This window comes from Homo sapiens, chromosome 8 (assembly GCF_000001405.40).
Source record: "Homo sapiens chromosome 8, GRCh38.p14 Primary Assembly".
Lineage (NCBI taxonomy): Eukaryota > Metazoa > Chordata > Mammalia > Primates > Hominidae > Homo > Homo sapiens.
In genome coordinates this window covers 1,700,710-1,713,046 of record NC_000008.11, presented here as the reverse complement: position 1 = coordinate 1,713,046, position 12,337 = coordinate 1,700,710, and the positions used below count along the sequence as shown (strand labels likewise).

The window sequence follows — 12,337 nt, the reverse complement described above, 5'->3', positions numbered from 1 at the left end:
TGTCAATTCATCAAACTTATTCTCTGTCCAGTTTTGTTCCCTTGCTGGCGAGGAGTTGTGATCCTTTGGAGAAGAAGAGGCGTTATGGCTTTTGGAATTTTCAGCCTTTTTGCGCCAGTTCCTTCCATCTTCATGGATTTCTCTACCTTTGGTCTTTGATGCTGTTGACCTTCAGATGGGGTTCTGGTGTGGATGTCCTTTTTGTTGATGTTGATGCTATTGCTTTCTGTTTGTTAGTTTTCCTTCTAACCATCAGGCCCCTCTGCTGCAGGTCTGCTGGAGTTTGCTGGAGGTCCACTCCAGACCCTGTTTGCCTGAGTATCGCCAGCGGAGGCTGCAGAACAGCAAAGATTGCTGCCTGTTCCTTCCTTTGGAATCTTCATCCCAGAGGAGCACCCACCAGATGCCAGCCAGAGCTCTCCTGTATGAGGTGTCTGTTGTCCCCTACTGGGAGGTTTCTCCCAGTCAGGATACACCAGGGTCAGGGACCCAGTTGAGGAGGCAGTCTGACCCTTAGCAGAGACTTGAGTGCTGTGCTGGGAGATCTGCTGTTGTCTTCACAGCCGTCAGGCATGAGCGTTTAATTCTGCTGAAGCTGCACCCACAGCCGCCCCTTTCCCTGGGTGCTCTGTCCCAGTTAGATGGGGGTTTTATCTACAAGCCCCTGACTGGGGCTGCTGCCTGTTTTTCAGAGATGCCCTGCCCAGAGAGGCGGAGTCTAGAGAGGCAGTCTGGCCACAGTGGCCTTGCTGAGCTGCGGTGGGATTGCCCAGTTCGAACTTCCCAGAGGCTTTGTTTACACGGTGAGGGTAAAACTGCCTACTCAAGCCTCGCAGTGGTGGGCACCCCTGCCCGCACCAAGCTTGAGCATTTCAGGTTGATTTCAGGTTGATTTCTGTGCTGGCAGCAAGAATTTCAAGCCAGTGGATCTTAGCTTGCTGGGCTCCTTGGGGGTGGGACCCACCGAGCCAGACCACTTGGCTCCCTGGCTGCAGCCCCTTTTCCAGGAGAGTGAACGGTTAGCGGCTTATCAATTTTATTGATCTTTTCAAAGCGCTGGCTTTTGATTACATTATTTTTCTCTGTTTCCTATTTTCAATTGTATTGATTTCTGCTCTAATTTTTATTATTTCATTTCCTGTGCTTACTTTGGATTTGACTGCCTCCTAAGATGGATATCTAAATGATTGCTTTTGGATCATTCTTTTCTAATACAGGCATTGAATGCTATGCATTTCTTCCAGGCACTGCTTTTGCTGCATCTCACAAATTTACATATATTGTGTTGTTATTTTCATTTAGTTTAAATATTTTTAAATTTCTTTTGAGACTTCTTTGTAGATCCATGTGGTATTAGAAGTGCATTGCTTAATCTCCATGTGTTTGGGGATTTTCCAGCTATCTTTCTGTTACTGATTTCTAGTTTAACTCCGTTGTGGAATTGAGAGTTCATACATTGTATGACTCTATTCTTTTACATCTGTTAGCGTGTGTTTCATAGCCCAGAGTGTAGCTTGGGAAGCATGTGTGTTCTGCTGTAGTTGGATGAAGTAGGGTGTTAGGTGTTCATTACAGCTAGGTAACCAGTGGTGCTTCTTTTACATCTGTTAGCGTGTGTTTCATAGCCCAGAGTGTAGCTTGGGAAGCATGTGTGTTCTGCTGTAGTTGGATGAAGTAGGGTGTTAGGTGTTCATTATAGCTAGGTAACCAGTGGTGCTTCTTTTACATTTTTAAAGTGTGTTTCATAGCCCAGAGTGTAGCTTGGGAAGCATGTGTGTTCTGCTGCAGTTGGACGAAGTAGGGTGTTAGGTGTGCATTATAGCTAGGTAACCAGTGGTGCTTCTTTTACATCTGTTAAGGTGTGTTTCATAGCCCAGAGTGTAGCTTGGGAAGCCTGTGTGTTCTGCTGCAGTTGGACGAAGTAGGGTGTTAGGTGTGCATTATAGCTAGGTAACCAGTGGTGCTTCTTTTACATTTTTAAAGTGTGTTTCATAGCCCAGAGTGTAGCTTGGGAAGCATGTGTGTTCTGCTGTAGTTGGATGAAGTAGGGTGTTAGGTGTTCATTATAGCTAGGTAACCAGTGGTGCTTCTTTTACATTTTTAAAGTGTGTTTCATAGCCCAGAGTGTAGCTTGGGAAGCATGTGTGTTCTGCTGCAGTTGGACGAAGTAGGGTGTTAGGTGTGCATTATAGCTAGGTAACCAGTGGTGCTTCTTTTACATCTGTTAAGGTGTGTTTCATAGCCCAGAGTGTAGCTTGGGAAGCCTGTGTGTTCTGCTGCAGTTGGACGAAGTAGGGTGTTAGGTGTGCATTATAGCTAGGTAACCAGTGGTGCTGTTGAGGTCAGCTATGTCCTTGCTGATTTTCTGCTGGCTGGATCTGTCAGTTACTGGTAGACAGGTGCTGAGCTCTCTAACCGCCACAGTGGATTTCTCTTTCTTTGTAGTTCTGCTGGTTTTCGTGTCACTTGACACTGTTTTTAGGCACAGGCACATTGAGCATTGTCATGCCTTTGTGGAGAACTGGCCTCTTTATCATTATGTCATGTCCTTCTGTGTCCTGGAGGAGATTTCTTGTCTGAAGGGTGCCCTGTCTGGTGTTAATGCAGTGACTGCAGCTTTCTTTGGATTAGTGTTAGCATGGTTTACACTGCTCTATGGTGTTACTTTTAATCAGTGTCTTTATATTTAAAGCGCTTTTCTGGTAACAGCATGCTGTTGGGTCTCTTTTTTAAAAAGTCCTGTGCTCAAGCGATCCTCTCACCTTGGCATCCCAAAGTGCTGGGATTACAGGTGCGAGCCACCATACCCGGCCTCCCTCTTTTTTAATACAAAAGTGCTATTGATGGAATGGTAAGGTGTAGGGGGGAGGGGAAGCTTTCTCTTATCCTATGATTGGGTCTCAGTCTTTCAGTGAGCCTGTGCCCTGAGGTCTGATCTTTGTAAATCCTTCCCAGTCCCCCCTCCCCACCCCTGCCTTAGGATGGCTACAGGGGGCTGGCATAGGGTCTTTCCCTTCCCCTAGATATGTCAGACTCTGGCAAACCCCAAGTCTGTCTGTTAGGCTTTGGTAGGATACTTTTACTTGAGGGCCTTTTTTTAAGGTGAACAGATGCTCTGGGCATATTTCAGAATGGCTACTTTCCCCCCACCTGCTGGAAACACAAGGGCATTTTTCTCTGATCTATACCCTGAGAACCTGGCGGGGGGGGCGGGGGGGTTCCTGGGGGTAAAGCTCACAAGGTGTTGGGGGCGTCCTAAGACTGGGCCCCCTAGAGTTTTCAGTCCTCAGGTTTGTCCACGTTGAGCTTCTGGGTTTGTCAGCCACGGGTCAGGCTTCCCCAGCCCAGCACAGGTCCCCACAGAGGTTTCCGTACCTGGGCATCTGCTCAGTGGGTTGTGAGTCTCTGTGTCAGCCTCTCTCATTCTGGGGGAGCTGTTTGCCCTGTGACATTCATTTTGATAAGAATCTACAAAGAATTGCTGCTTTTCAGCTTGTTCCACTTTTTCTTGTTGTGAGGACAGAATGCTGTATGAGAAACCAGAAATTCTCATGCACTGGTCTCTTGGTTTTTAATTAAAAGATTCTATAAATTATCTTGTTATAATTTAAAATGAATTCCACAGTAATTTATTTGTACTTTTACTGACTTCTGGGAAAATAATGTTTGACTACATGAGGATGAAGGTATAATGTTTCAAATGAAAGGCCAAGTAAATTAAAATATTTATTGAAGGGCTATGGGATTAAAAAAGAAAAATATATAAAGCTTTGTTTTCGCTGGTTATAAGTGTATCTTGAAAAGAAATACAGTAAAGGAAAGACATGAAAAACAATGCATGAAACACAGTCCTGATGTGTGCTGGGGGGAGGGTTGTCCTCAAGAGCTGCACTGTGCCCCTGGGGAGACTGCAGAGCAATACTCAGAGTATCCAGGCAAGGAGTGCATAGAAAGAAGGTGCAGAGACATGAGGCAGCAGGATTTCTCACTGAGAGGGGTGAGACTAGCTGGTCACAGGCAAGAGAAAGAAGGGCAGGTGCAACTGATCAAGGAGGTGGAAGGCAGGGAGCAACTGCTCAGAGTGGTGACGTGTGGTCCACCTCCCCGGACTGGTCCACCTTCTCTAACTGGTCACTTCCCCAGACTGGTCTACCTCCTGGACTGGTCCACCTTCTCTAACTGGTCACTTCCCCAGACTGGTCTACCTCCTGGACTGGTCCACCTCCCGGGACTAGTCCACCTCCTCGGACTGGTCACCTCCCCGGACTGGTCCACCTTCTCCAACTGGTCACTTCCCCAGACTGGTCTACCTCCCGGACTGGTCCCCTCCCTGGACTGGTCGCCTCCCCGGACCGGTCCACCTCCTAGACCGGTCACCTCCCTGGATGGACTGGCTTGCACTGCTTCCTGGCAGTTGCAGGCTCACTGGGGACTGGAACCCACTTGTCCTCCTGGAGTTTCATCACCAAGTCCACATCCCACCCTGTCTCACTGGAGCCAGGATCCATAAGGTCCCGTGAGCTAATGTGCGTCTCTTTTCAATGCAACTCAAAAGAGCGTAAAACAACCGTTAACTAAATACTGTAGGATTTATTAATTAAAAACTCATTTAATCTATACCATTTTGCATACATATTAAATCTGTAACCTTAATAAATGTCCATTACTTCTTAAAATATAGAGAAATTGAGGATATTTCAACAATGAAATATATAATGGAGGAAGAGTGTAATTTTTTTTCGGATAAAACTCTTTGGTCTATATAATTTTTCTGAGATTAAAATAACACGAGAATTCACTCCAATAAAAAAGTAAACATTACTTTTCTCAAAAAATTTAATTGCCAAACTATTTACAGGAGGTGAACATCAGCGATACAGAAGTCAAATGGAGGCATCGTCACAGGACGGTTATGGCGGAAACGGTGCACAGTTTCTTACAGTCAGCTGAGAGTGAAAAAAAGTCATGGGAAAAAAGAACACAAATAAAGCAATCCTTAACTGCCTTAAAGGAATGACCAACATTCTGGTAAGTTATTAAGAGGAAGTAAGAAATTGTCGTGGTGATGAATAGCATATTGCACATTCAGATTAGGTATCCTGCATGCTACTAAATAGAATTTATCAAAAGAACCATAAAAGCGTGAGAAAGAGAATGACATAAAATAGTTGAATTCCAGTGAATGACTTTGTACAGATGCTGAATATTTGGCACTCTGCTCATCCTCACACTCGATATGATTTCATATTTATATTTATATATATATTTATATACTTCTTTAAAACTTTAAACAGCTAGTTTCCTGGTTCTAACATTCCTTGAATTTCTATAGGAGGCATTTAATATAGTCCTTAGGCCACACCTGGGTATTTTGGTCTGTAGTATGGAAGGTCGGGGGATGAGTTGTCTCTCTCTGCAGGGAGGACCTGTCCTGCCCGAGAGCGAAGTGGCTTACCGTTCGGAAGGAAGCGTTCGAAAGTAGCCTAGGTCTCACTGCTCGTAAGGGGAAGCCTTGTCGAGTTCAGCAAACGAGTTAAAAAGTGGAGTGAGGGGAACATTCGTGCTGAGCCCTTTGAAAGTGATATGATTGTATTATTTAAATGAGTGGGGCTGGGGCATGGTAGTGTTTTGGGGGTAAATCAGAGAATGCGTGAGTGGCTTCCATAAGGTACCACGATCAAGCTGGGAGCGTCCTTTGTCGTACTGGCAGACACAAGCCAACACACTCTCTAGGGAGACCATGGTCTACTTGAAAGAGATAAATTTGAACTTAAATTTGTCCAAGAAACCTGGTGTCAATCTTTTCATTCATTATCACCTCTCCTCCATTGAGTAGGTGAAAGCTTGGATGCCCAAGGCTTTCAGGTTCTGAATAAGCACCAATGAAAAGAGTTACATAAAATCTAAGAAAGTAGGGAGGTAAACCTCTGTCAACTTGTGTGTGTATATACAAAATCTGTTAAAAAGTAGTTTGATAGTAGGTAACGAACATTTCTTCTGCAAAGAAGTCATCTGTTAAGTGTTTACATTGAAACTTGAAATAATTTATTTTAACACTGGATAAAAACGCCAGGGTTAGGACAGCAATTCATAAAATTGTGGACATTTTTCAATGTGGCAAGGATGAAAGACGGCTGTTTCCCGGAGCTTTCCCACGGACCACCTCTGCCTTCTCTCAAGTGCGAAGTAGAAAAATTACAAACGCCTGGAATTAGAGGGGTGGGCTTCTCAAACCCTTGCGTGGTTTGAGTCAGTGTGTCTGATTTCGTTCCTGATGTTTCCCCACCCATGCGGTTTTCGGCTTCCAAATAATTTTTTTTCCTTCATCATTTTAATGTTTAGTTTATCTCCTCATTTCATCTAAGAGGCGATTGAGCTTAAGTAATGGTGAAAACGTGGCCTAATTCTGGTTGGTGCTGGGTTCTTGTTCTTGGAAGCATCTAGAAACAGTTGAAAGCCAGAAGCTAAGGAGAATGGCCCTTGTAGTTATTTCTGCATTTCCAAACCTTTCCAAAGACAGTCTCATGGCCTCTGCCTCTGGTGGTCCCTGATTATCTCTGAGATGTTTACGACCAGCCTGGATTCTGGCAGCGTGCCCTGCAGAGCTGGGAGGGCGGCATTCTAGAAGAGGCCAGGGACTAATCCTTAGCAGTAACGCACACTTTCACCACCTGTTCCCAGGAGCTCAAAGGACTTTAGAGCCAATATGTCATTAATCCTCACAGTGTGTCCTGGAGGAAGACAGGGACAGGAACTGTAATCCCCTTTCTAGAGGAAAAAAACTGAGACATAAACTTGAGATGAGTTGCCGGCTGAGGATGAATAAAAGCCAGGTTGCCTAACAGCCTAGAGATTCCTAGCAATATCTCCTTCATTTCCAGAACATTCTGCTGCCACCCTGCACTGGGGGACATTCAGCCGAATGTGTAGAAGCAAACCCTTTCCTTTAGCACTTTGTTTATGGCCAACAATGTATTGCAACTCCCAACTAATAGCGACAAGATGGGGCTCCTGCAGGGAAGCCATGGGCTCTGAGCTGACCTTATGTGGTGTGTGTCATGGCTGCCACATGGCCCTGAATGAAGCACACTGCATTGACCCAGCCCACAGAGTTACAGATCCTAATCAGAAAGGGGTCATCTTTTTCACCTCTTAAGCTCGTGGTTTTCTATTTTAAAGTTTTGGAAACTTGTATTCAACCCACGCCTACAGAGAAGTGTAAACAGACATGCAGATCAAAACAAGAGAACCCTGGAACATTCCCAGGGGCTGTCGTCTGAAAACTGCAGTTTTAAATTAGCCTGTTAAATTTGCAGCTAAAAAAAAAAATGAAGTTCAGGCTTGAGAAGAAGAGGGCTGGGAAATGAGCAGGCAGGAACCATGTGGAGTTTAGTTATTTCGGCCCGTGTTGGAGAAGCGTGTTTCTGTGCTCACAGGTGGGGCAATTTCAGTTTTCAGTGTGGGCCAAAGGCAGTATCCAGGGGCCCTCCCCGAACCAGCGCTGTTTTGGACAATGCTTTTATGTCCGTACCAGCGCACACCCTCTCACACATTTCCCGCTGCCTTTCCCAGGTTCGTGGGGGGCCCTGTCATCAAGGGTGGCCCTGCTGGTGACTGGGGTACCCAGGCTGACTCAGCCACGGCACGGGGGCCTCCTGTCCACTGAAACACCCCGGGGAACCTGCCAGAATTCCAAGCAAGGCTGACTGATGAAACGCAGCGGAAACAAAAGCTGCATCTCCCAGGAGGTCCCCTGGCCCCTTCATGCTCAGGACCACAGGAGGCTTGGCTTGATGGAATTGCTGCCGATAGAAAAGGCCTTCCTGAGGGAGACTTGGACCCACCTCCCCCACTCCCTACTCGCCCCTCGAAGGTTTGGCACAAACCAGACAACTGTCCCTAACAGAGCTCATTCCACAGTTACCACAGGCGCTGCAAACACAGGCCTGCAGTATCCCTTCACTTTCCTGTGAAATTCCATCCTGGACTCGGGTAGCGATGCTTACAAGGATCTAACAAAAACAGAGATGCGCGAATTTACGGATGCAGGGCCTTCTAATGAAAGGGGTGGAAACGGTGGCTGCTTAATATGGCATCGAAAAGGCAAAAATCAAGACAAGGACATATGCTCCAAGAGAAATAATCAGAACCTGTGCACATGTGTGCTCTGCCACTGTGTCTTCTAATAATAAACCTGGCCACTTTCATAAGAAGCAGCAGGGAAAAATTCCCTCTGCGTAGTAGGTCACTGAGTTTGTAGGCTTTTTTTTTTTCTTTTAAAACCAGATAACCTTACAGGTAATTATATTTTTATCTGACCATTTACCTTTCCATTAAGTGCTTGAAGTTTTTAGAATTGATTTGGAGTTGAAAACATCAACATTTCCTTTTAAACAAAACTGTAATTTTTTTGGTATCATAAACAGTTCAATTTTTTTATATACCATTCTAAGATGGTGATATAAATTTGCTGAGAAAACTATGGTAAAAATTGTCATCGATAACAACTAGTTTTACTTCAAACACAACAACACGTGAAGATGCGAGAGACGCATCACAAGGAAAGCACTCTAGGTGACAAGCAGCATTCTCCTTTCCCGGGCTAAACGCTAGGTCCTGTTTATCATACTTGTGTTTTATTAACCACAGCCTTCAACACAGCAGGATCAACCTGTCGGCTCTAAGGAGAGTGTCTGGGTTTCACCTGTCATTGGCTGTATCATTAGGGAATGTAGGTATGGGGTTATAGTGAACATCACACTCTCTAGGATGATGTTCCTAGAACAGCACAATAATTTTCAGCCGTGTTCTCCAATGGATGTTTACTCTTTTCTTGAAGTTATATTTTAAATATGACGAAATGGTCACACGTCGTGAGCTCCATGGCATGATCTGCTAGAAGTGGCTGAAATAAGCTAGCTCGAGTGACTAACACAAGTATCATAAACAGTTTTATTTTTCTTTACATGTACAATACAGAAACATGGCTTATCTTCTGCGTTTCATGGTAGAATGTCACCTGCATGAGAACTGAGTATATTGCACTTGATTATGTAACACGGACAGGTAACATTCCATCAGGTCTAGCAGCAGGTATCCGTTCTACCATTAAATCATCTTCTTTGGAACATGGCGGACCAGGCAGGGCGTGTGCACATTCACCACGTCGAGTCACCAACCCTGTGCAATGTAGTGGTAGGTTAATCTGCTCCCCTAGGGATGGTTTAGGCCAAGACTTTTGGGGATTGAAAAATAACAATGAGTCTACAAAACATAAGAAATCAACCTACATGCAGTGAACATTTTCTTTTAAGCAGGGATCATAGAATCTGGGATCTGAGACAAATAATTATTGACTACTTTAACAGTTTGCTTTTCTATGTTTTGTATAAGCTCAAGGAAATGAGTTAAACGTATCAGCTGCCAGTAGATAGACCAATGTGAGGAGGTGGCGGGCCTTTATCCACATTACATTTCCTTTCACTCAGAGTGTACACTGACTTTGCTTTTCTGTGGTTACTTCTAAACAGCAGAGTTCATCTGAAATCATACAGCATTTTTAAAGTCTAAAATGCCAATACTCGCAAATACATTTGTTTTAACATAATAAGAGTGGATATAGGAAGAAGCGTCATTACCGTACACTACTCAAGATTTAGGTATTCATTTAGGTAGAAAAATGCCTTGAACACTCTGGGGAAATAGGATTCATTTATAGAAGAATATTTCAGGGATTTTTTTTTTTTTGCATTTTTCAAGGAGATACATTCGTACTGATTTTTGCTTCCAAATATATTTTAAGGCTGTTTGGTAAAATATATACCAGACATGAGGCTCAATTTACAGGGTTTTGTTTTTACAGGGAATTCTTAACTACTCAGCTTTAAAAAAGTAAAACTTCGAAGCTAAACATGCTTTAATATCAGCTCTGCTCCCAATGGTCCCATGCTCAGTGGGATGTGGGGAATGAGGCAGGGAGACACCGCAGCTCTGGAGGGCGCGCTGGGGGCCAACCGCACATCGAACGCCCTGCCAGCCACGGGCTGCAGAGGGGCTGGGGACATTGTAAAGTGCAAATCAAGGCGAAGAAACAAAGTGCTATGGGGTCATCGAAAGCTATTCTGCCTGTGGCTAAGTACATGGTACTCCTTAAGCCGGGAAGGAAGACCAGGTATTGGGGTGGAAACATCTTAAATCGCAGTCCGCTTTTACTTTGAGTAATAATGAGAACTCTGAAACTGGAACCCATGGAAAAATCGGACAGGCTTTTCCTTTGAAGACCGGTCTGAACTGTGAAACAGAAGTCGTGTCAGAACAATGGTTGCAGCAGCTAAATTTAATTATATACACAGAAAGCCTATTAATTAGAGTCGTTCCTATTTTCCTCTGGCACCGACCACAGAGTCATGAACACCAATTTTTTTTTTGAATGCTACAGCTGGAAATCACAATATGTGACCTCTTTTTCCCTTCATGTCTAACACAGGCAAGGAATATATTCTCGACTTTAGCAATACTGCATAGGACAAAAGAATTCTGGAAAAATACAAATGTAAACTACATTTCTTCTTTACCATTTAAACTGAGATATACTTACCACTCACATTCATATTTCTTAAACTTTTTACATCACAACTGTCATTTTAAACAAGCAAACTTTTGTTTTTCGTGTGTGTTTTTTTTTAAGGATACCCTGAAAAGTCAGCTGATAGAGCAATTTGAGAATATATATATATACATACATTAAAAAAATCACATGTAGCGTAAATGGTGAAACTTAAAGAAAATACTGGGTGTCGTATTTTAAGTTAGAAAGAAATAAAAAATACAATAACTGTTTACAAGTAAGGACATTGTTTTCCTTTTAAGCTCCCAGCCCTCCGTAAGACTCTCCTCTCTGCGCGTGACTTCCTGGTGGGAACACTCAGCTTATCTTTTGAATGTGTAGATGCTGCGCTGGGTATTTTCGTGGGTTCAGACTTGTCATCGCCTGGGATTCTGGAGAACTGTACGGCGGGGAGTGTGGTGGTTGGAGAGGTCGCTTTCCATCACAGGAAGCTTGACACAAGGAGCCTCGTGTTTTCTGTCCGAGACAGACAGGAGCAGGGGAGCGGAGCGGCCCGTGCTCAGGGAGTAAAAGCTCGGCTGTGCGAGGGGAATGGGCCTTTCTTTCCTGCGCTTCAGGTTGTAGCACCTTCCACTTGGGTGTCTAATGCCTCCAGGGAGTGGTGGGATGCACCCGTTTATAGTTACTTGTTATTCTTACCTCTAATTATCACACAATTTATAAAAATAGAAATAACAAAATGTAAGCTGGGTTCCAGCTCCAGAGGCATTTCTCGCCGTCCTCTGAGAACACGCAGGAGAAATCAGGTCTCGCCACACCTGTCCCTCAGAGCCAAGTGTGAGCCAGGCCACCCGTGAACAACAACAACAACAACAAAAGCAGAAGTCGTCCTCGCCGCGAGCTCCGTGGACTCTGAGGCCGCCGGCCGCGTCCCGCTGTGTCCGGGGCGCGGGGAGCGCGGGAGCGAGGACGTGTTCAGCGGGAGGAGGAGACAGAAACCACCAGGGCGGCGCCGCGCTGCACAAGCGTCCGGGAAAGCGGAAGCGACGAGGGGAAGGCGCCGGCCTCCGCCCTCAGAGCCGGGTCTGGGCCTCGGGGATGTAGATCTCGATGCTGTCCGCGCGCTCGGAGGCGGAATTCTGCCGGAAGGACGCCGCTCGCTTGGCGGCCATGAGGCGCCTCCGGGCTTCCTGGCGTTGTCTGTCGGGCAGGTCCAGGGATTTTTCTCTTGTGATGGGAAACTTCCCCTTGGGAGGCTTCTTTGGTATTGGAGGCGGGACCTTTCTTTCTTCCTGAAAAGCAGCGCAAGTCACCGTTGGCAGGTGCTCGGAGGAGGGTCCCAGCAGCTCGCGAGCTCAGCGGCCCTGGGGCCTGGCCTGACCCTTCCCGACCGCAGCCCCCAGGGCCGCATCCTTCACTCCCGTCCCCCGTCTGCCCTGGTCCCCGGCTCCCAGGCCACAGGCCTGCCTTCTGCACAGGATGGGATTTGTGGAAGCTCCCTCGCACTCTCCAAAGGGGGCAGAGGCGTCAGGGGCAGCGTGGACAAATCAGGAAAGAAATTCTGCAGATTCGCACCTTGCGTCTCTGCAGTCACTGCGCTAGTCTGACATTGTCGCCCGATTCCTGCGCTTCCCAAAGCCCTGTGTCATCTCCGAGCATCGCGAGGGTTTTGGACACCATCGCTGGACATCCCTATTCAACACTGCAGGGTTTTCTGCAGACTCTGGGATTCCAGTATGTTCATGAAAACCATCTTACGTGAATGGGTGT

At 45.7% G+C, this 12,337-nt stretch overlaps 1 protein-coding gene across 1 annotated transcript in view, besides 1 other annotated feature; it reads right to left on the bottom strand.

Moving 5' to 3' along the window:
- Positions 4,571–12,337, bottom strand: part of DLGAP2 (DLG associated protein 2) — a 970,849-nt gene continuing 963,082 nt past the window's right edge. Inside the window, exon 15 of the mRNA NM_001346810.2 lies at positions 4,571–11,859. Within this exon, the coding sequence (NP_001333739.1) occupies positions 11,641–11,859 (219 nt within the window). The 3' untranslated portion in view covers positions 4,571–11,640. The remainder of the gene's footprint in view (positions 11,860–12,337) is intronic.
- Positions 11,641–11,799: an enhancer, noted in NCBI's record as "conserved acetylation island sequence 7". NCBI's record gives its function as "activates a minimal heat-shock promoter by reporter assays in Jurkat T cells {active_cell/tissue: Jurkat}" and the evidence as "EXISTENCE:reporter gene assay evidence [ECO:0000049][PMID:17135569]".